The following is a 24,484-nucleotide window of genomic DNA, read 5'->3' as shown; positions in this document are numbered from 1 at the left end:
AACTAGTTTACAGTCCCACCAACAGTGTAAAAGTGTTCCTATTTCTCCACATCCTCTCCAGCACCTGTTGTTTCCTGACTTTTTAATGATCACCATTCTAACTGGTGTGAGATGGTATCTCATTGTGGTTTTGATTTGCATTTCTCTGATGGCCAGTGATGATGAGCATTTTTTCATGTGTTTGTTGGCTGCATAAATGTCTTCTTTTGAGAAGTGTCTGTTCATATCCTTCACCCAATTGTTGATGGGGTAGTTTGTTTTTTTCTTGTAAATTTGTTAGAGTTCATTGTAGATTCTGGATATTAGCCCTTTGTCAGATGAGTAGGTTGCGAAAATTTTCTCCCGTTTTGTAGGTTGCCTGTTCACTCTGATGGTAGTTTCTTTTGCTGTGCAGAAGCTCTTTAGTTTAATTAGATCCCATTTGTCAATTTTGGCTTTTGTTGCCATTGCTTTTGGCGTTTTAGACATGAAGTCCTTGCCCATGCCTGTGTCCTGAATGGTAATGCCTAGGTTTTCTTCTAGGGTTTTTATGGTTTTAGGTCTAACGTTTAAGTCTTTAATCCATCTTGAATTGATTTTTGTATAAGGTGTAAGGAAGGGATCCAGTTTCAGCTTTCTACATATGGCTAGCCAGTTTTCCCAGCACCATTTATTAAATAGGGAATCCTTTCCCCATTGCTTGTTTTTCTCAGGTTTGTCAAAGATCAGATAGTTGTAGATATGCAGCATTATTTCTGAGGGCTCTGTTCTGTTCCATTGATCTATATCTCTGTTTTGGTACCAGTACCATGCTGTTTTGGTTACTGTAGCCTTGTAGTATAGTTTGAAGTCAGGTAGTGTGATGCCTCCAGCTTTGTTCTTTTGGCTTAGGATTCACTTGGCGAAGCGGGCTCTTCTTTGGTTCCATATGAACTTTGAAGTAGTTTTTTCAATTCTGTGAAGAAAGTCATTGGTAGCTTGATGGGGATGGCATTGAATCTGTAAATTACCTTGGGCAGTGTGGCCATTTTCACGATATTGATTCTTCCTGCCCATGAGCATGGAATATTCTTCCATTTGTTTGTATCTTCTTTTATTTCCTTGAGCAGTGGTTTGTAGTTCTCCTTGAAGAGGTCCTTCACATCCCTTGTAAGTTGGACTCCTAGGTATTTTATTCTCTTTGAAGCAATTGTGAATGGGAATTCACTCATGATTTGGCTCTCTGTTTGTCTGTTATTGGTGTATAAGAATGCTTGTGATTTTTGTACATTGATTTTGTATCCTGAGACTTTGCTGAAGTTGCTTATCAGCTTAAGGAGATTTTGGGCTGAGACAATGGGGTTTTCTAGATATACAATCATGTCGTCTGCAAACAGGGACAATTTGACTTCCTCTTTTCCTATTGAATACCCTTTATTTCCTTCTCCTACCTAATTGCCCTGGCCAGAACTTCCAACACTATGTTGAATAGGAGTGGTGAGCGAGGGCATCCCTGTCTTATGCCAGTTTTCAAAGGGAATGCTTCCAGTTTTTGCCCATTCAGTATGATATTGGCTGTGGGTTTGTCATAGATACCTCTTATTATTTTGAAATACGTCCCATCAATACCTAATTTATTGAGAGTTTTTAGCATGAAGGGTTGTTGAATTTTGTCAAAGGCCTTTTCTGCATCTATTGAGATAATCATGTGGTTTTTGTCTTTGGTTCTGCTTATATGCTGGATTACATTTATTGATTTGCATATATTGAACCAGCCTTGCATCCCAGGGATGAAGCCCTCTTGATCATGGTGGATAAGCTTTTTGATGTGCTGCTGGATTCGTTTTGCCAGTATTTTATTGAGGATTTTTGCATCAATGTTCATCAAGGATATTGGTCTGAAATTCTCTTTTTTGGTTGTGTCTCTGCCCGGCTTTGGTATCAGGATGATGCTGGCCTCATAAAATGAGTTAGGGAGGATTCCCTCTTTTTCTGTTGATTGGAATAGTTTCAGAAGGAATGGTACCAGTTCCTCCTTGTACCTCTGGTAGAATTCCGCTGTGAATCCTTCTGGTCCTGGACTCTTTTTGGTTGGTAAGCTATTGATTATTGCCACAATTTCAGATCCTGTTATTGGTCTATTCAGAGATTCAATTTCTTCCTGGTTTAGTCTTGGGAGAGTGTATGTGTTGAGGAATTTATCCATTTCTTCTAGATTTTCTAGTTTATTTGCATAGAGGTGGTTGTAGTATTCTCTGATGGTAGTTTGTATTTCTGTGGGATCAGTGGTGATATCCCCTTTATCATTTTTTATTGCATCTATTTGATTCTTCTCTCTTTTTTTCTTTATTAGTCTTGCTAGTGGTCTATCAATTTTGTTGATCCTTTCAGAAAACCAGCTCCTGGATTCATTAATTTTTTGAAGGGTTTTTTGTGTCTCTATTTCCTTCAGTTCTGTTGATTTTAGTTATTTCTTGCCTTCTTCTAGCTTTTGAATGTGTTTTCTCTTGCTTTTCTAGTTCTTTTAATTGTGATGTTAGGGTGTCAATTTTGGATCTTTCCTGCTTTCTCTTGTGGGCATTTAGTGCTATAAGTTTCCCTCTACACACTGCTTTGAATGCGTCCCAGAGATTCTGGTATGTTTTGTCTTTGTTCTCAATGGTTTCAAAGAACATCTTTATTTCTGCCTTCATTTCGTTATGTACCCAGTAGTCATTCAGGAGCAGGTTGTTCAGTTTCCATGTAGTTGAGCGGTTTTGAGTGAGATTCTTAATCCTGAGTTCTAGTTTGATTGCACTGTGGTCTGAGAGATAGTTTGTTATAATTTCTGTTCTTTTACATTTGCTGAGGAGAGCTTTACTTCCAAGTATGTGGTCAATTTTTGAATAGGTGTGGTGTGGTGCTGAAAAAAATGTATATTCTGTTGATTTGGGGTGGAGAGTTCTGTAGATGTCTATTAGGTCCGCTTGGTGCAGAGCTGAGTTCAATTCCTGGGTATCCTTGTTGACTTTCTGTCTCATTGATCTGTCTAATGTTGACAGTGGGGTGTTAAAGTCTCCCATTATTAATGTGTGGGAGTCTAAGTCTCTTTGTAGGTCACTCAGGACTTGCTTTATGAATCTGGGTGCTCCTGTATTGGGTGCATATATATTTAGGATAGTTAGCTCTTGTTGTTGAATTGATCCCTTTACCATTATGTAATGGTCTTCTTTGTCTCTTTTGATCTTTGTTGGTTTAAAGCCTGTTTTATCAGAGACTAGGATTGCAACCCCTGCCTTTTTTTGTTTTCTATTTGCTTGGTAGATCTTCCTCCATCCTTTTATTTTGAGCCTATGTGTGTCTCTGCACGTGAGATGGGTTTCCTGAATACAGCACACTGATGGGTCTTGACTCTTTATCCAATTTGCCAGTCTGTGTCTTTTAATTGGAGCATTTAGTCCATTTACATTTAAAGTTAATATTGTTATGTGTGAATTTGATCCTGTCATTATGATGTTAGCTGGTTATTTTGCTCGTTAGTTGATGCAGTTTCTTCCTAGTCTCGATGGTCTTTACATTTTGGCATGATTTTGCAGCAGCTGGTACCAGTTGTTCCTTTCCATGTTTAGTGCTTCCTTCAGGAGCTCTTTTAGGGCAGGCCTGGTGGTGACAAAATCTCTCAGCATTTGCTTGTTTGTAAAGTATTTTATTTCTCTTTCACTTATGAAGCTTAGCTTGGCTGGATATGAAATTCTGGGTTTAAAATTCTTTTCTTTAAGAACGTTGAATATTGGCCCCCACTCTCTTCTGGCTTGTAGAGTTTCTGCCGATAGATCTGCTGTTAGTCTGATGGGCTTCCCTTTGAGGGTAACCTGACCTTTCTCTCTTGCTGCCTTTAACATTTTTTCCTTCATTTCAACTTTGATGAATCTGACAATTGTGTGTCTTGGAGTTGCTCTTCTCAAGGAGTATCTTTGTGACATTCTCTGTATTTCCTGAATCTGAATGTTGGCCTGCCTTGCTAGATTGGGGAAGTTCTCCTGGATAATATCCTGCAGAGTGTTCTCCAACTTGGTTCCATTCTCCCTGTCACTTTCAGGTACACCAATCAGACGTAGATTTGGTCTTTTCACATAGTCCCATATTTCTTGGAGGCTTTGCTCGTTTCTTTTTATTCTTTTTTCTCTAAACTTCCCTTCTGTCTTCATTTCATTCATTTCACCTTCCATCGCTGATACCCTTTCTTCCAGTTGATCTCATCAGCTCCGGAGGCTTCTGCATTCTTCACGTAGTTCTCGAGCCTTGGTTTTCAGCTCCATCAGCTCCTTTAAGCACTTCTCTTTATTGGTTATTCTAGATATACATTCTTCTAAATTTTTTTCAAAGTTTTCAACTTCTTTGCCTTTGGTTTGAATGTCCTCTCATAGCTTGGAGTAATTTGATCGTCTGAAGCCTTCTTCTCTCAACTCGTCAAAGTCATTCTCCGTCCAGCTTTGTTCCGTTACTGGTGAGGAACTGCGTTCCTTTGGAGGAGGAGAGGTGCTCTGCTTTTTAGAGTTTCCAGTTTAAGAAAAAGAGGTTTAAAGGACAGAGTTCCATGTGGTTGGGGAGGCCTAACAATCATGGCGGAATGCAGAAGGCACATCTTACATGGTAGCAGACAAGAGACAATGAGAGTCAAGCAAAAAGGGTTTCCCCTTATAAAACCATCAGATCTTGTGAGACTTATTCACCACCATGAGAACAGTATGGGGGAACCACCCCCATGATTCAATTATCTCCCATCAGGTCCCTCCCACAACACGTGGGAATTATGGGAGCTACAATTCATGATGAGATTTGGGTGGGGACACAGCCAAACCATATCATCTCATTTTAAATATAAGTGAATGTAGGTCCAAGGTGGTTAAACAACCTGTCAAGCTTATGCCGTTAGTAGGAATAGGTCCAAGACTCAAACTCAGGCTCCCAAAACCACATGACTAGCCACCGTATCAAGCTGCCCCTCCAAAATGACAGAGCGTGGTGTAGAAAGGGCAAATCATGGCAGAAAGGGAAGGAACAGAGGACAGAAAAACCTGAGTGCAGAGGGCCAGTTCTGTCAAGGAGCAGTCTTACACAAGTCATCTTAATTAACAATCAGTGGCATTCTTTTCTTTAAAATGTGGAATCTGGATTAAAGTTAGAAAACTGAAACCTCTGGGCCCATATTGGCATAGACTGATTTTGAATTTGAAACTGACTGCAAGACATGCATACCCGTAGTCCCCACCCCACTTGCTGTTGTGACCCAGCCTGCTTCTGTCCCTAACATATGCTTCTCATCTCCAAAGACAGTTGAGTTTGTGGACCTTAGAATGATCCATCTCTGTACTACTGTAAGAGTCTATGAAACTGATACTTCCTCAGTGACTAAACATGGTTTATGGTTTTACATAATTCCATGCATTTGTAACTGAGTCCAAAGCTTGTACCACTTGCTGCAAAACAGTCAGTAAGTCAAGCAATAAGATGTTGGGGCAAGGAAGACCACTTTATTTGGGGGAGCAAGCAAACCGAGAAGACGGCAGGCTCATGTCCTAAAGAACCACCTTAAGCATATGTGGGTTCCTTTTATGTTAAGGGAAAGGGGAAGAGGGAGGGGGTTGAGGTCAAAAGGTGACTGGTGACCACAGACGTTTGGGCTGCAGCAAGGATAAACTTTCATCCTTGGTCAGGTTACAATACTGTTATAAATTTTTAATGTAATGTTGTTACTTGTGTGTTCATCCTTCTTATCTCCTCAGGGATTCTTTTTAAAGCATCCTTGCCTCAAAGTTAAACCATAAACTAAATTCCTCCCATAGTTAGCTTAGCCTATATGCAGAGATAAACAAAAGCAGTTAACCTAAAAGACATCATCACAGTGGGAGGATGAGAGCAAGCTGGTTAGGAGCAAAATGGATTAAGTCATGCTAGGCTTCCTTTTCACTGTTACACATTGTCCAAGCAATCTGATTTTTCACCATTTATGCCATTTATGTATGGTATTTAGATGGAGTGAAAAAGAAAGACACGCAGGAAGACAAAATGGATGGATTTTCCACGAGCTCCTCGTACATTATCCCATTTGGAAAAATCAATCAGCTGCCCAGAGGCTCATTAGTAGGAAGGAGGCAACCCAGGATTCCAGCCCAGGTCTGTCTGACTCCCAGATTAAGCTCTGATTCCAGCCCAGGTCTGTCTGACTCCCAGGTTAAGCTCTTCTCCTACACTGGTCACTATCATCTAATTCTAACCCCTGGAATCTGTCCTTGAAAATGAGAAAGGAATCTGAAAAGGAGGCTCACTCTTTTTTTTTTTTTTTTTTTTTTTTGAGATGGAGTCTCACTCTGTTGCCCAGGCTGGAGTGCAGTGGCATGATCCCGGCTCACTGCAACCTCTGCCTCCCAGGTTCAAGCGATTCTCCTCCCTCAACCTCCCAGGTAGCTGGGACTACAGGCTCCCGCCACCACACTCAGACAATTTTTGTATTTTTAGTAGAGATGAGGTTTCATCATGTTGGCCAGGCTGGTCTCAAACTCCGGACCTCAGGTGATCCACCCACCTCGGCCTCCCAAAGTGCTGAGATTACAGGCATGAGCCACCGTGCCCAGCCTGGAAGCTCACTCTTTTAAGTGCATTTCAGAATCGGCTTCTAGTGCCCACATCCCTAACCCCCATTTTGCATTTTGTGTATGTGTGGAGAGAGACAGACAGACAGAGAGACAGGCAGGGAGACTGAGAGCCAGAAAGAAATCGAGGAGACTTCACCAGAAAGGCTCTGGCAGAAATGTGCGTGGAGAAGTTTGTATGGCTTTATTTAATCAGGCAATTCTGCCACCCTGTCATTCATTCCACAAGTGCTTACTAAGTGTCTACTTTGTATCAGGCACTGTGCTAGGTGTTATGGATACAGAATGGAATAAGACACAGTCCCTGCCATCGGACATGCCCACTGGTGATAACAGTCCTCTATGAAAGTCTCTATGGCAGCCTTCCCAGAGTACCTTGAGAGGGAGCCTAACTAAGGCTCAGGAGAACCTTCAGAAACCAAGTGATGGCAAAGTTTGTTTTGAAGCACAGAAGAAGTCGGTGAGACAAAGCAGCAAGAAGAGGGTCTTCTAGAAAGAGCGAACAGCATGCACAAAAAAACTAAGGTCAACTTTTAGTCCAAACCACAATTCCTAAATTAGAGGAGTTCAACCCTGAGTTAACTGCCTCGTCTGGGTCCTCCTCATGATACAGTTCTCAGGAAGGGGAAGGCATCCCTGGGAAGAGGATGACCAGTTTAACTGGGCTGGAGCAAGTGCCCCAGCTCCACTTGACTGACAGTAACTCCCTCTTCATCTATCCTGGGGCAGACTCAGCTTCTCTACTTTTCTATCCTGCTTTCTTACACAGAGGAAACGCTCATCAAAGATTGTTAATCATAATGATCCCTGTCATAATATTTGTATGACCCTCATGGAGCCTGTGACATATTGTTGTATTTCTACTTGACGGATGAGTTAGCAGAGGTTCCAAGGACTTAAGAAACATACCCAGAATTGCACAAAGCTAGGAAATGACTCTTGATGCCTAATAGCTCAGGCACAAATTAAGCGCTTTGTCCATGATACTACAGGATGCTCATGATAATGGCTGATGATGGCCATCATGAGGATGAGGAGAAAGAAGAAAGGGAAGAGAACAGAGAAGAAAACAGCATTTCTTTTTTTTTTTTTTTTTTTTGAGATGGAGTCTCACCCTGTCACTCAGGCTGGAGTGCAGTGGTGCAATCTCGGCTCACTGCAGCCTCTGCCCTCCGAGTTCAAGCGATTCTCCTGTCTCAGCCTCCCGAGTAGCTGGGATTACAGGCACCTGCCACTGTGCCCGGCTAATTTTTTGTATTTTTAGAAGAGACAGGGTTTCACCATCTTGGCCAGGCTGGTCTTGAACTCCTGACCTCATGATCCACCTGCTTCAGCCTCCTAAAGTGCTGGGATTACAGGTGTGAGCCACCGCGCCCTGTCGAAAACAGCATTTCTTGAAGGGTTTCCAATGGTTTTGAACTTGTTTTCCCAGGTGCAGACAGGATTTGGAAGGTTGGGCTCTCACTTCTGGGGCTTCCAAACCCACGATGTCCTGCCTGACATTGTCACCATGGCTAAAGGGATTGGGAATGGCTTTCCCATGGCAGCAGTCATAACCACTCCAGGTAGGACCCACAGGCAGTTTGTGTTTGCTTCTGGGCCTCGTACATTGGGCTATGGTATAACACGTGTGTTGGAACTTGTGTAGATTGGAGACAATCATGGAAACCACATGATGCATTTCCCAAGCAAATGAAAGAGAGAAACAGTCTGTCTGCCTGACTGTGAAACAGTTGGAAGAAAGCCAGCCCTTTTTTTTTTTTTTTTTTGAGACAGAGTCTTGCTCTGTCACCCAGGCTTGAGTGCAGTGGCACAATCTTGGCTCATTGCACCCTCTGCCTCCGCAGGTGCAAGCAATTCTCCTGCCTCAGCCTCCTGAGTAGCTGCGATTACAGGTGCGCACCACCACGCCCAGCTAATTTTTGTATTTTTAGTAGAAACGGAGTTTCACCATGTTGGCCAGGCTGGTCTCAAACTCCTGACCTCAGGTGTTTGACCTTGGCCTCCCAAAGTGATGGGATTACAGGCGTGAGCCACTGCACCCCTATCCGAAAGCCAGCCCATTCTGATCTACCTGTAGGGAAGACTAATTCTCCCATGCCTATGATGAAACTCAGGGTTCCACCACACTTTTGAGGTATATGGAAGAGGGAGAGAAGATGGAAAGAGGAGAGGGGTGGGAGAGGGCTCTGGTGTCTCTTCCTCTTCTTATAAGAAAACCAGTTCCTTGGGCTTAGATAGGGCCCCACCCTGATGACCTTATTTAACCTAATTACCTACTTAAACGCACTATCTCCAAATACAGTCTTATTCAGGGTTAAGGCTTCAGCCATATAAATTTTGAGGCGATACAATTCAGTCCCTAACATCTACTATCAGTTGAATGAAGGATGAATTGGATTGGATGCCATTTACAACACGAAGTAACTGTAGTCCAAATGGCGCGATGAGAGATTGTGGACAGGAATGTGTCCCTCTTTCCACACCTTCTATTTTCTCCCTCTAGAGATTGCCAAATCTTTGGCGAAATGCCTGCAGCACTTCAACACCTTTGGAGGGAACCCCATGGCCTGTGCCATTGGATCTGCTGTGCTTGAGGTTGGTTCCAGCGGCCACATTAACCTCACTCATTTCACAAATGACTCTTTCAAAACCACACATGCATTAGCAGAACTCTATCATGCTGAGTTGTTAAAGGGGAGAGTTAATTCATAGTTTATCCATTAAAGTTAGATTTCCATTTATTATTCTGCCTTCTCCCTTTTTAAAGACCTACTTTGGGTGCTGAAAGTATTGGATAAGAAATAATATATAATAAACCTCACATACATGGGAAATATAAGAATTTTCCTAGCCAGCTGAAATTTCTTTGTTATCTTGGTAGTGATTTATAGATGTTAACTGCTATCCTTGTATTTAGTTTCATGTTGGCCTTCTCTTGTGTATTTTTTCTTCCTTCCTTTTGTTGTACTATTATAAATTGAATGACTAAGGAGACACTGAGTTCTACGTGCTTACAGCAAGGTAATTCAGCTGTTCACCCCTACACCATTGATTTAGCCTGGGATCGCATCTGTTTAAAAAAAGATTTTTTTTAATGTTCTTGTTAACACGCCTAATATCATTTGCTTAAAGAACTGTAACAAATTTCTGGAAGAATGTCTAAGAAGTAAATGATGGTTTTTTTTGTGGGGAGGAAAACTAGGTGGCTGGGGGCCAAGGGTCAACAAGGGTCATTCTGCTGTATATACTTTTATACTTGCTGATATTTATATATATACATACACATATATATTTATATATGTATATATATTTATTTATTTCAATAGCTTTTGGGATACAAGTCGGTTTTGGTTACATGGATGAATTGTATAGTGGTGAAGTCTGAGACTTTAGTGCACTGTCACCCAAGTAGTGTACATTGTACCCAATATGTAATTTTCCATCCCTCACCCCCCTCCCAGCTTCCCCGCTTCTGGGTCTCCAATGTCTATTGTGTACCCATAGCTTAGCTCTCACCTATAAGTGAGAACACTTATTAGTTGCTGTGAAAGACATTATTTTCTTTTTTATGGCTGAGTGGTATTCCATGGCGTGTGTGTGTGTGTGTGTGTGTGTGTGTGTGTGTGTGTGTGTATACACCACATTTTCTTTATCCACTCATCAATTGATGGGCTCTTAGGTTGGTTCCATATCTTTGCAATTGTGAGTTGTACTACAATAAACATATATGTGCAGGTGTCTTTTTGATATAATGGCTTTTTTTTCCTTTGAGTAGATACCCAGAAGTGGGATTGCTGGACCGAAGGATAGAACTACTTTTAGTTCTTTTAGAAATCTCCATACTGTTTTCCATAGAGGTTGTACTAATTTACAGTCCCACTAGCAGTTACACTCACTGATTTTCGACCATGAACTTGATTTACCTATTCCAAAAAAATTTTAAATAAAAATAAATAAGAAAACACTGCCTTTATTAATTAAATAGTTATTTTCAACTACAATTAAGTCATGAGATGAGAAAGTATGGGTAGGAATGTGTCATTTATTTCACTTTGTAGACATTGCCAATTTTTTTTTTTTTTTTTTTTTTAGAAAGAGTCTTGCTCTGTCACCCAGACTGGAGTGCAGGGGCACAACTTTGGCTCACTGCAACCTCTGCCTCCCAGGTTCAAGCGATTCTCATGCCTCAGCATCCCAAGTAGCTGGGATTATAGGCATGCACCACCATGCCCAACTAACTTTTGTATTTTTAGTAGAGATGGGGTTTCACCATGTTGGCCAAGCTAGTCTCAAACTCCTAACCTCAAGTGATCCACCCACCTCAGCCTCCCAAAGTGCTGGTATTACAAGCATGAGCTGACATTGCCAACTTCTTTTAAAAAGTGCTTTGTTACCTCAACCAATTTAGAAGGCAAGAAGGTTTAGGTGAACAAATAGGTCTATAAAAATAACAAGGTTTGCCTGGAGTCATGCAATTATTGTCAGCTAAATAAAAATATAGTATATTTCATGTATCTTGTCAAGAACCACAGGTGTTTGCTGTAAGTAAAACTGAGGTAAAAATCCTTTTATATCTTCTGGTGCCCTGGCTCTGGGCTCAGCCAAAGAGGCCAGAGCCTCAGACCAGGCTGCTTGGCTATGAGAGTCCATGTCTGGCTGAGGCCTGCTGAGCAAAGGTCACCATCTTCCAGTAGGGAAACCATCTGTGATATTTCTTTCCACAGAGCATTCATCTTATTCACAAATATATCCCAGTTCTCAGCAAAGCCTGACAATAACAAGCCTTGGGATTTCAGAATCTACATTTTCAACTGCATTGAGACACACCTTTATTCTTTCCTAAATTCTTTTTTGTTTGTTTTTTGAGGCAAAGTGTCGCTCTGTCACCCAGGCTGGAGTGCAGTGGCGCGATCTTGGCTCACTGCAACCTCCTCCTCCCGGATTCAAGCAATTCTCCTGCCTCAGCCTCCCGAATAGCTGGGACTACAGGCGCCCCCCACAGAGCCCTGCTAATTTTTGTATTTTTTTTTTAAAGTAGAGACGGGGTTTCACCCTATTGGCCAGGCTGGTCCCGAACTCCTGACCTTGTGATCCACCCATCTTGGCCTCCCAAAGTGCTGGGATTACAGGTGTGAGCCACCATGCCTGGCCTATTATTTCCTAAATACTTAGCCACCTCTGAAGGTGAGGGAGTTGGGGGCAGAAGCATATCCCCTCCCCTAAGACTTTTCTTCTCTCCTTACAACAGATCTTTTTGTAGTCCTTGTGGTCACACTAGACTTGTTCTGCATTCTGTTTGGTTAAGTTACAAGAGGGCCATGTCAAATGACTTCTCCACGATTCTCAGTCAATCTTAGAACTTCTGCCATGTAAGATCATTTGGGGCTTTCTCTTAACAGGTGATTAAAGAAGAAAATCTACAGGAAAACAGTCAAGAAGTTGGGACCTACATGTTACTAAAGTTTGCTAAGCTGCGGGATGAATTTGAAATTGTTGGAGACGTCCGAGGCAAAGGTCTCATGATAGGCATAGAAATGGTGCAGGATAAGGTAGGTGCTAATCTGCCCCTCTCTCTCAGCTGCTTGGAGCCAGCAGGAGATATAGGAGGAAACATCAGCTAAACTTCATTTACTCTCAAGGAGAGAGCAGACACAAACAGCAAGATTTCAGCAAAGCCCTTTAGAGATTAGTAGAGAGTGTTGAGTATGAACAAAATGCTGGCAGATCATCAAGAATTCTAGAGGGATGAGGGAGAGCACTGGGAAAAGAAACCAACATTATCCTTGCCATCCTAGGCAAATAGCATAGGCAATGACCGAATACTTAGAAATACAGGGAAGGGAGGAAATTATCTGGGGAGAAACAGAAGGAATAAGAAAGAAGGGCCAGGAAAATGTTATGGTGAAGGTTTGGGGTGAGGAGGTTAAATATATATTAGGAGTTGTTGTTGTTGAGACAGAGTCTCACTCTGTCACCCAGGCTGGGAGTGCAGTGGTACGATCTTGGCTCACTGCAACCTCCACCTTACAGGTTCAAGCTATTCTCGAGCCTCAGCCTCCCGGGTAGCTGGGATTACAGGCACACACCACCATACCTGGCTAATTTTTGTATTTTTAGTAGAAATGGGGTTTTGCCATATTGCCCAGGCTGGTCTCAAACTCCTTACCTCAAGTTATCTGCCCACCGTGGCCTCCTGAAGTACTAAGATTACAGGCATGAGCCACCAAGCCTGGCCTATATTGAGTTTTGTTTGTTTGCATGCTTACTTGTGAATGGATTTCAACCTCCCAAGTAACCAGGGAGGAATGTTGTTACTTGTGAATGGATTTCAACCTCCCAAGTAACCAGGGAGGAATGTTGCCCACTGAGACCTCTAACTCATCATAACAGCAATTGAACTTAGCATCTTCCCCCAAACCAGATATTTCTCCCAAGATCACTGTTTGTTTCTCACACTCCACCGTTCTCCCAATTACTCAGCCTCAATAGCACAAAATCATCTGACTCCTCCTCTTCCCTTGTTTCTAACAACAGGACTCATTGATATCTCTTCTCTCCCATGTCTCTCAAATCTTTCCCTTTGTTTCTACTGCAGCCCCTATAGTAAATGCCTGTAGGAAATTGTGCCTTTCCTCCATAAAATCAAAGCCTGAAAAGAGCAGGAGAATCTTGGGAGTAGGGAGGAATAGCCAGACTAACCTCATGTCTACAGGGATCCAGCTTTCCCTAGCAATTTCTACCTCTTTGGTTTTACCACCATTCTACTTTAGAAGGATTGATGCTCAATTTTTTAGACCAGACATGGTATAAGACTCTTCAATTCATACCACATGTCACAGCCAGTACAAAGCTGGGATGTTTAAGTAAGATTTGAAAGCCAAGGGAAGACACCAGTAAAATAAACAAAGGGTAATATGAGACTAAGGTCCCCAGCTCATAATTTTATTTATTTATTTGTTTTGACCCCAACATGCATTCTACAATGGAGAAGAGCTCACAAGTCATAACGTATTTCAGTGTGTGGACAAGTACAAGAGTTGTTGTAACGTTCAGAAGAGTTCATCCTAATCTCCACCCAAGGGGTTCCCTGAAAGTTATCTATACTCCTCAAAGTGTAGACTTGAGAGAGGAAAGCCCAATGAGAGAGGAGGAGTTCTTCCTTTTTCTCTGTTCTGAACCCAACCTCTGTGTGCTCAAAGTCATATGAACAAAGATGTTCATCACAACTTTGTCTTAGTAAAACACCAGAATCCCCCTCCCAGATGACCGTTCATACAAAGCAAGCTAGCTTGTGGCATATCCCCACTATAATGGCATAGATATATATTTGACATGGAAATATGTGCAAGCCATATTGTGGAAACAATGAAACAGGTTTTTTTAGTCCATTTGTGTTGCTGTAAAGGAATACCTGAGGCTGGGCAATTTATCAAGAAAAGAGGTTTATTTGGCTCATGGTTCTGCAGACCATACAGGAAGCATGACACCAGCATCTGCATCTGATGAGGGCCTCAGACTGCTTCTGTTCGTGGTGGAAGGGGAAGAGGCGCTGGCATATGCAGAGGTCACTGATGAGGGAGAGAGAGAGAGAGAGAAAGCAAGAGATTAGGGGTTGGTAGGTGCCAGGCTGTTTTCAACAGCCAGCTCTAGAAGGAACTAATGGAGTGACAACTCATCATGGAGAGGACAGCACCAAGACATTCATGAGGGATCTGCCCCCACCACCCAAGCACCTCTTTTTAGGACCCACCTCCAACATTGGGGATCAAACTTCCATTTGAGGTTTGGAGGGCCAAATATCCAAACTATAGCAAGGTTATAAAATAGTATCTATAGAAGGGGCTCTTTTTCTCTTCGCTGAACCATTTGTTAGTATAAGCATGGGCTCTAAGGGCAGACCACCTGGATTTAAATCCCAGCTCCTACATCCCCTAATTCTACTCACTGTCCCCTCAATGCAATTACTCTCCAAATCCAAATGCCACTCAAGCTTTTCCTCAACCATGGAACACAGTATTCTCCCCTCTATATCTACCTATGGAAATCCTAGTCTTTTTCAAGATCAAGCTCTCCATCGCATCTCCTTAAAGCTTGCCTTTGCTTCTCCTCTATCCAGGAGATCCACCCTTCAGAGAATTCCTCTGGTACTCACTGTCTAAGGAGCTGCTTTGAAAAGATCTTTTCCACTATATTAGTCCATTCAGGCTGCTATAGCAAAGTTCTATAGATTGGATATCTTATAAACAACAGAAATGTATTCCTCATGGTTCTGGAGACTGGAAAGTCCAAGAACAAGGTGCAGGCCAACTTGGTGTCTGACGAGGGCCCACTTTCTGGTTCATAGATGGTGCCTTCTTGCTGTGCCCTCACCTAGTAAATGAGGCAAAAGAGCTTTCTGGAGCCTCTTTTATGAGGGTACTGATCTCATTCATGAGGGTTCCACTCTTGTAACCTAATCACCTCTCAAAGGCCCCACCTCCCAATATTATGCCATCCCCTTGGGTATTAGGTTTCAATATATGAATTTTGAGGGACACAAACATTCACTCTGTGTCACCTAACCTGTATTTGTTGACTCACCTTTTATGTATAAATACCTTATTTTCCTAAATAAGTTTACACTTTTGAGGCCAGGAAACATACAGATGGTAAGTGCTTTGTGTTTCTCAATTAATTTCAGGCCCCTGCAACACATCAAACCACAGTCGCATAGTTATAATACCCAAGAACTTTGCTATAATGCTGTCCAGCATCACCCAGGATAGGTACTCTCATATTCTGTTGGTAAGGAGGTACAGCCCTTTGGACAGTAATTTGTCTGCAGCTCTCAAAATTTTAAATATCTATACATTTTGACCTGGTGACATGGTTTGAATGTTTGTCCCTCCAAATCTCATGTTGAAATGTAATCCCCAGTGTTGGAGGTGGAGCCAGTAGGAGGTATTTGGATCATGGGGGCGGATTCCTCATCAATGGCTTGGTGACGAGTGACTTCATCTGAGATCTGGTTGTTTAAAAATGTATGGCACCTCCCTAACTCCCTCTCTTGCTCCTGCTCTCCCCACACGACCCATCTGCTCACCCTTTGCCTTCTGCCATGATTGTAAGGTTCCTGAGCCCCTCACTAGAAGCGGGTGCTGGAGCCATGCTTGTACAGCCTGTAGAACTGTGAGCCAATTAAACCTCTTTTCTTTATAAATTACCCAGTCTCAGGTATTCCTTTGCAGCAACACAAGAATGGCCTAACATACCTGGCAATTTCTAGAAGTGTGTCCCAAAGAAATACCCTCAAAACTGTCTAAAAATATGTATGAATAGGAATATTTGCAGCATTGTTTATAATCATGAAAAATTGGAAACAACCTAAATGCTCAACATTAGGAGGTTGAACAACTTACTGCAATGAAATACTAGGTAACGTTTAAGAAGACTAAGTCCAAATATACTGACATGGAAAGATGCCCAAGATATACCATATATTATTAAAAGGAAATTGCCAAACGTTATTAAATGACTTATTTTTTAAAACATGCATATAGATGTATTTGCATGCATAGAAAAAGTATCTGTTTCACACCAAATTGTCAATAGAAGGTGTCCCTAGGAATAGGATAGGAAGTGGGGAAATGTTCTCGTTTTACTTTATGCACTTCCAGAACATTTGAATTTTTTTCAAATTTTAAATTTATAATTCTTTAAACATAGATTCACCAAAAGAGATAAACACGATGGTCCATTATACATTCATCAAGAAGTTTAATTACTAGCATGCCCACTTCATTATCAAGCAGTTGGGGCACAGGCATGGGCACAAGGGCCTCGGCAGGCTGCGCTGTGGCTTAAGCCTCAGCAGAGTTTCAGACCCTGCTTTTTTTCCCTGAGGATGGCATACAAGATGTTCAATTAGCCATAGCAGTTGAGGTCAGGGAGGGATAAAATGGGCAAGGGAGCCAAGAGGGTGCTGGCCCAGAGCAAGGTCGGGGTGAAGCCACACAGACTCCACCCATTCAAAACTGTCCTGTTGGGCCAGGCACGGTGGCTCACACCTGTAATCCCAGCACTTTGGGAGGCTGAGGTGGATCACTTGAGGTCAGGAGTTCGAGACCAGCCTGGCCAACATAGTGAAACCCCATCTCTACTAAAAATACAAAAATTAGCCAGGTGTGGTGGCAGGTGCCTGTAATCCCAGCTAGTGGGGAGGCTGAGGCAGGCGAATCACTTGAGCCCAGGAGGCAGAGGTTGCAGTGAGCCAAGATTGCACCACTGCACTGCAGCCTGGGCAACAGAGTGAGACTCTGACTCAGAAAACAAAACAACAACAACAACAACAAAAGAACTGACCCCCCCAACCCAACCTTCCCTCCGGATTACTCTCCAATCCCTCTGGCCTCTCAAATCATATTTAATGCCCTTCTAGTTCTCACAGTTTAGCCCTAAATTATTTTCATTGTCTCTTTCCAATCAGTCGTAAGTGGAATGCATGATAGCATTTTGAAGTCAATGAGAGGATTCTAGTCCTTCCCTCTCCCTCAGGTCCTTTCTGATCCAATAGTCTGAAAGTTTGAATATGTATTTTGCTTATGTTAAGGCTTTAAGACAGAACAAAATGCACATATCTCTCTAGGAGGTCCCATCTTATTCTGTTCTCAGACAATGACACCTTACAAGAAATGGAGGATTGGGGAAAGAGTTGGATCTGGGGTTGGTGGGAAGAAGGAAGTGGATGGCAAAGCCCAGACTGAGGGTGGGTAGGAAGTGTGGAGGATGTAATGAAACTGGGCACACTAGAGGGGCCCCGTCTACCTCACTTAGCTCGCTTAGCCCGGTCACCTGAGGACCATTTTAAAAATGCAGATGCCTAAGCCCTGCTTCCAATATTCTAATTTGATTGGCCTAGCATGAGGCCCAAATATCTGTCATTTGAAAGCCTTCCAGGTAATGCAGACATGCTGTCAGGTGTGACATGACTAAGTCAGAGGGAGACGTTTGTACTCACAGACTGGGAAGACAGGGGACGCACAGAAAGGATGCAAGTCAGCCCAATGTCTGACCCCACAGGGAGGGGACCTGCTCTGAATGGCTGGGGATCTGACACAGGCTCTCGGCTCCTGGAGCACTTACCTTTCCTAACCCTGGAGGATGCAGTCTTGGGGGAGAAAGAGCAAGTCCTACAAGCAGGGAAATTAGGACAAACCGGCCCCTCCTCAGCTGTCCCACTGCGCTGCCCAGGGAAAGCTCAGGCTGCTGGTGCCTTTGTACAACTTCTGAGCCATTTCCTGGCCTTTGAAATGAGCCCTTTCCATGGGCAGAACAAAGTGAAGAGTTAAGGAAAATTTCCACATAAAACAGACTCCAAATTTAGCTATTAAGGAACCAGACTCCCAAGGCAGCCATTAGCAAAGCTAAGATTCACTGGCTATCCGCACAGAACTTCATTTTGTCTTTTGGGAATTTGGGATGAATTCGGATTAGAAACAAACATTTTAAATAACATCCTCCAAAAATCTGGTTCAGCAATTAGCAGCTTCATTTAATTACAGGGGAAGGAGAGGACAGAGAGAAAGAGGGAGAGAGAAAAAAAAGAGGGGCATTGATGGCTGAAGGGTTTTTCTTTTTTCCTCTCTTGCAAATAATTCCTTTAACCATTCCAACACCAAATAGAAAGAATTTTAAAAATATATTTACAGATAAGCTGTCGGCCTCTTCCCCGTGAAGAAGTAAATCAGATCCATGAGGACTGCAAGCACATGGGACTCCTCGTTGGCAGAGGCAGCATTTTTTCTCAGGTAAGAGAAAGACTGGTTTTTACCTATCGCTCTAGGTAGGAGTCTCTCTGATTTCCTAATGCTGGTCACAGTTTCTTCACAGCTGTGAAGATGTCCTAATGCTGGTTGCAGTTTTTACACAACTGTGCCGAGGTACCCAGCCACATGTCATCTAGGGATGAAGCTCGGGTACAAAAAAAAAAAAGGCGGAGACAGTGCAGCTCTCAGGCCACTAGGGGGCGCTGAGTGAAAATGGTTTGGTTGTCGCGGCTCTTTGGGGTAAAGATAGAGGCAGACAGAGGATGGTCAAAGCGGACAACTAACAGTATGGATGATAAACATCACAGTCATGCAGTAAATAATCTATCTCCTGTATAATTAATTCTAACCCCTGTGAAAGCAATTCTGGCCGTTCTTAGCTCAGCCCAGGGCTCTGACTTGGTGACCCTGCTAAGCCTTAGTGGCCTCTGTGGCTGGGAGCAACACGACAGCACCTGCAGGCCCGGGTGACGCCTGTCGGAGAGATGGAGGACCACCTGGGCATAGCCCCCATTGCCAAACTCAAAATCAGCCAGAGCCAGTGTCCTTCACCCTTAGGCTGGGAGATTCAGAGGTCGAGCCCTCCCCACTCCCTTCCTTGAAAAGCCATGCCCAGCTCCACAGTCAGGACCCTGGCTTGCCCTGCACACACTGCCCGAGAGGCTGCCCCTCACAGCAACAGCCTCTCCCCAGGGATGGGCTACAGGGTGGAGACTTAAGAGAGAAGGTAACTTCTGCTCCTCCCTAATTTGTCCTGTCCTTTGTTAACTTTCTTTCCCATTTTAAACATTCCTCATCCTTCCCAGTTTCCCTGCTCCATCCCTGCCTCTCACAACTTCAGTGGATACTGAAATATCTGCTTCTTGCCTCATACTTCTCAGATAAAATTGAAACTATCAGGCAAAACCTCTATATAAACTCATCGGTCCCCGCATTTATTCTTTCCTCCCGTGTTAGTCCCCCCCCCCAGCCTGCTATCACAAAGCGCCATAGCCTGGGTGGCTTATACATCATAGAAGTTCATTTCTCATAGTTCTGGAGGCAGAGAAGTCCAAGATCAAGGTGCCAGCAAGTTCAGTGTCTGGTGAGGGCGCTCTTTCTAAGCGGCCATCTTTCTGCTGTGACCTCACATTGCAGAAGGGGCAAGAGAGCTCCCTGGGCCTTCATGGGCTTTGCCCTCCTGAGCTAATCACTTCCCAAAGGCTCCACTTCACAAGACCATCACCTTGGGAGTTAGGGTTCCAACATAGGAATTCAAGGGGTAGAGGCACAAATGTCCAGATCATAGCACTTCCTTCCCTGAAGGTTCCAGAAATGAGGCATTTCTCCTTTTCAAATCTAGATCTTCCATCTGTGTGCTTGTTTCTCCAAGCTCCCTCCACCTTCACTCAAGGAAACCCCCATGTTTTCTTGCATCTTCAATTTTTCCCCAACTTCCCCTTCCCCTTTAAACAAAACAGACTTAAAGTTCTCCCAGCCCAAACAACAAAGCCAGAATGAGCACTTTTGCTGGGATGTGCTCTGTGATTTTTTTTCTAGTCCAGGTCATAAATATTTTTCTGTACAAACCAGATAACATAATTTAATGATTATGAATCGTAAGACATGCAATTTATAAAGACATGAGATACTTGTGTACTTGCTTAGCTCTTCCTTTGTTATTTGGCAAAATTTGTTATGTGCTAAGCAACAGGTGTCATTCTGGAAACTGAAACTATTAGGTTGCTGTAAAAGTAATTGCAGTTTTTGTGATTTTTTTTAATTGCAAAAACTGCAATTACTTTTGCACCAACCTAATACGGTGATAAATAAGATCTGGTCCTTCCTTCGTGGAGCTGGTGGGAGAGAAAGGCAAATACATAGAAAATTACAATATAATGTAGTAAGCTCATCTATAAATATTTTTTAAAAGATATTCAAGGGGGAAAGAGAAGGGACTTCTAGGCCAGGCTTTCTGGGTAGCAGAATCTTAAATAATGAGATAAACAACCAAACTGTGCATGAAATGTGGCAGAGTACAAAGAACTAATTTTGCACACCACATCACACCACACAGATGTGGCTGGTGCAAAGGCTTGAGTAGTCAGTGGAGCTGGTATGAAGCCCTTCCTGCTTGTCAGGCACTGTCCTAACACTTTGCATGAACTGACTCATTTAATGCTCCCAACAAGCCTATAAAATAAGTACTATTACTATCCTTATTTTACAGATAAAGGAAAAGACACACAGAGAGGTTAAGTAATGACAGAACCAGGATCCAAACTCAGGTAGTCTGATTTCAGAATCTGTCCTCTGAGGAAGACAAATCTAAGGGGACAAGACTGGAGACAGGGGGTCCCTCTGGGAGCCAAGGAGGCTGTTTGAACCTGAGCTGTGGTAGTAGAGATAGAGGAGATATTCTGAGGATAATCCTGGAAAATGCACAGACTGTGGATATGAAGAACCAGAGAGAGTCGAGGAAGAAGCTCTCATGTTGGTTTGGAGTGGGCAAGAATGAGTCCAGCTTTGAGCATGCTCCATTCAAGGTGTTCATAAACATCTCACTCTATCTACAGATGCTTCTTGACTTATAGTGGGGTTACCTCCTGATAAACCCCTCCTAAATTGAGAATATTTTAAGTCAAAAATGCAGTTAATACACCTAACCAACTGTACATCATAGCTTAGCCAGCATACCTTAAATGTGCTCAGAACACTTGCATTAGCCTACAGTTGAGCAAAGTCATGTGACAAAGCCTATTTTATAATAAAGTGTTGAGTATCTCATGTAATTTATTGACTACTGTACTGAAACTGAAAAACAGAAAGGTTGTATAGATACTTGATGTACAATTTCTACTAATGTGTATCACTTTCCCATCATTGTAAAGTCAAAAATATTCTGTCAGGGACCATCTGTAGAAGTCTGTAGCTCGGAGGAAATGACTGAAGATCATGTTTTATAGGTCATCAGCATTTACACAGTGAGATGAGGAAATCTCCCAGGAAGTCTAATGTCTAGATGAGAAGCTCAGTGAGATGAAGATAGAAACCTGCACAACACTGACTTTTAACGGGCAGGAGAGGCCGGGCACGGTGGCTCACGCCTGTGATCCCAGCACTTTGGGAGGCCGAAGCGGCAGATCACTTGAGGTTAGGAGTTTGAGACCAGCCTAGCCAACATAGTGAAGCCCTGTCTCTACCAAAAATATAAAAAATTAGCTGAGTGTGGTGGCACACACCTGTAATCCCTGCTACTCAGGAGGCTGAGGCAGGAGAATTGTGTGAACCTGGGAGGCGGAGGTTGCAGTGAGCCGAGATTGTGCCACTGCACTCCAGCCTGAGCGACAGAGTGAGACTCTGTCTCAAATAAAATAAAAATAATAACAGTAATAATAATAAAAGGCAGGAGAAGGAAAAAGCTGCCCAGGTAGAGGCAGAAAGCGTGGACAGGTATGAAGAGAATAAGAAGAGTGTGAAGTCATGGAAGAAAGAGACAGGAGAGGTTCAGGAAGTGGGGGAATTCCAAAGAGTCAAGTGCAGAGAAGGCCAGAGAGAATGAGGGCTGGAAGATGACCAGTGGATTCCACACTTGCAGGTAACTTTAGTAGAGTGGTTGATGAGGCAGAAGTCAGACTGCAACCAATTGAGATGTGAATGGGGGAAGGGCAAAGTAATAAATAATGGCCAATAAGCACCAACCAGTCTTTTTAGTGATGTGGCTAAAAGCAGGAAGAAAGCATTTGCGAGGTAGCCATAGGGGACAAGGGGGTCAACAAAGATTTGTATTTGGTGTGGTCTAGATTGGGGTTATGAGAGCTTTAAGCCTGCTTGTTTATAGGCTAAGGGGAAGTTGAAGGGGCGTTTCCTGGAGTGAAGGAGATGGGAGAATCCAGGGTCAAGGGCATAGGTGGACAATTTGGAGTTGAACAGCAAATACACCTTGTTCTCTGAGCCTTTAGGAAAGTTTATAAAAATGGATGTGAGAGCAAACAAGTTTGTCTTGCGTGGCAGCTTCAATTTTCTGAGAAGTATGAGGCATGATTGTCTATGAAATAGAGGGAGAGGCGCAGGAGTTGAGTAAGGAAATTGAGAGGAATGATAAAGGTTTAGATTGAGAAAGGACGCTGACAATGAACAAGAAAAGTTGGGGTGACCCACAGAAGTTGGAGACCCTGAATATCTAGCGGCATCACTCAGCCTAGCTGTGTGATTTTTCTCTAACTCTTCTCAGCCATCTAGATTAGAAAAAAGCCATTCAATAAAATATTTCATTAGCGCTGGGATTGGCTGTGGTGTGGGTGCAGCAGAAAAAGGGTAGAAATGCAAGCAAAATGAGGGGCAAGTGTGAGCCTACTTCATTCAACTCTGCGTTCTGAGCTGGGTAGAAAGGAAGGAGGAGACCTGAGTGGAGCAATAGACCTGAAAACAATGGGTGAATGAGGATTCTGAAGTCTTCATGAAAAGGAAAGCTGTAGTGGGAATCAGAAATTGAGTTGTTCCTGGTGAAGAGGAGGCTCATGGCATTGGCCATGGGTATGAATGGTTGCAGAAGGGTGGACATAAAGATTCTGGGAGTTGTGGCAATAAGGGCAGTGAGAAGTGAGTTTGCTGGGTTGCACATATGGACATGGAAGTCACCCTGGGCAGAAATGGAGTATAGCGAGGGGCCTAAGACTTCAGTGAAGGTGTAGAATGACCAGGAGGTAAATGTATGACAAAAAGGAAAAGGGGCAGAGCCAAATTGTACAAGGGTTTGTATGGAGACTGGAGGGTGAATGGCCTGGATTCAGCATTGGGGATGGAGGAGGAACCAAACTGAGAGAAACATGAGAAACATCCTAAACACAAGGTTTTGGATTTTTAGTTTAGTGCATTTCCTCAAAGTCATATTTGATTCTCTGATGATTTGTTTTCTTATTTTTTGGTGTCTCCTCAGACATTTCGCATTGCGCCCTCAATGTGCATCACTAAACCAGAAGTTGATTTTGCAGTAGAAGTATTTCGTTCTGCCTTAACCCAACACATGGAAAGAAGAGCTAAGTAACATTGTCAGAAATAAATAAAACCACAAGTCTCAAGAATTTGCCACGTATGTTCAAGGGTGAATTTGAAGAATTTCAGAACCACTGGTATCCAGAGAAAGCCTGCAGCTCTCCACAGGAGCTGTAAAAGTCATGGTTGACTGCCTACCAACCATATTTGTTAGCAGAGCCCCTCTTATCTTGAGAACTCCATTCTTCAGGGAAAGGATCTCCCTAGCTCAGAGAATAAATCCTAATTAGTTTATGTTAGGTATGGTAATTTGATTCCCCTTTGCAGTGATTGGTTTATGCATGAATATGTGATGTATTTTTGTCCAGTGAATCTTGAAGAAAAATCTTTTGGTGGAGGTGCCTTCAGGGAAAGTTTTCTTCACCCTCACTCTTCAGTTCAAGAAGAGATGTCTTCTTGTTGCGCTGAGAACACCATATGTTCATGACGAGATTCCTGGCACCATGTCAGCCGGCTTGTAGTCATGAGGACAACCCTTTTTGGTGAGGTTGGAAGATGGATGGAAGCCAAGTGCTTAGTGATGTCAAAGAAGCACTCACTTAAGCATTCCTGGAGCCACCCTACCTCAGGGCCTCTTGATATTTGAGGTAATAAATTCATTGTTCTGTATAAGGCTTTTTTATTTTTCACTGTTACGGTCAAAAGCATACTGAGAAATGAGGCAGAAAATACTCCCAAAGAAAGAACAAGTTCCCTCTCCTTTAACTCCCTTAAAACATCTGTCAGAGCCTTCTTTTCTGGTCCTTACCTACTACCACATCCCACTGTGGTCTGAACCCTTATTACTCCTATTGCAATACTCTCCAAGACCATAATTTCCCAAACTTTAGTCATTAGAATACACAGTTATATAATTTCTCCATAGAGGCACACCATTTGTCTTAGGTTTATTTTTCCTTAATTTGACTTTTTTTTTTTTTTTTTTTTTTTTGAGACGGAGTCTCCCTCTGTCGCCCAGGCTGGAGTGCAGTGGTGCGATCTCAGCTCACTGCAAGCTCTGCCTCCCGGGTTCAGGCCATTCTCCTGCCTCAGCCTCCCTAGTAGTTGGGACTA

At 42.9% G+C, this 24,484-nt stretch overlaps 1 protein-coding gene across 6 annotated transcripts in view, besides 1 other annotated feature; it reads left to right on the top strand.

Annotated features, from left to right (window-relative positions):
- The window catches only part of AGXT2 (alanine--glyoxylate aminotransferase 2), a 49,848-nt gene extending 25,808 nt beyond the window's left edge, over positions 1 to 24,040 (top strand). For 4 of the 6 annotated variants that reach the window (NM_001438585.1, NM_001438583.1, NM_001438584.1 and 1 more), the window contains 5 exons: positions 8,023 to 8,155; positions 9,097 to 9,188; positions 11,993 to 12,142; positions 18,281 to 18,379; positions 23,316 to 24,040. In NM_001438585.1, coding sequence (NP_001425514.1) covers positions 8,023 to 8,155; positions 9,097 to 9,188; positions 11,993 to 12,142; positions 18,281 to 18,379; positions 23,316 to 23,423 — 582 coding nt within the window. In that variant the 3' untranslated portion in view covers positions 23,424 to 24,040. The remainder of the gene's footprint in view (positions 1 to 8,022; positions 8,156 to 9,096; positions 9,189 to 11,992; positions 12,143 to 18,280; positions 18,380 to 23,315) is intronic. The other 2 variants (NM_001306173.2, NM_001438050.1) reach the window with 2 other exon arrangements.
- Positions 18,686 to 18,735: an enhancer, noted in NCBI's record as "active region_22470". NCBI's record gives its function as "activates an Ori minimal core promoter by ATAC-STARR-seq in GM12878 lymphoblastoid cells {active_cell/tissue: GM12878}" and the evidence as "EXISTENCE:reporter gene assay evidence [ECO:0000049][PMID:35858748]".
- Positions 24,041 to 24,484: the final 444 nt, after the last annotated feature.

Source organism: Homo sapiens, chromosome 5 (assembly GCF_000001405.40).
Source record: "Homo sapiens chromosome 5, GRCh38.p14 Primary Assembly".
In the NCBI taxonomy this organism is placed as follows: Eukaryota; Metazoa; Chordata; class Mammalia; order Primates; family Hominidae; genus Homo; species Homo sapiens.
This window is presented reverse-complemented; position numbering and strand designations above follow the sequence as displayed.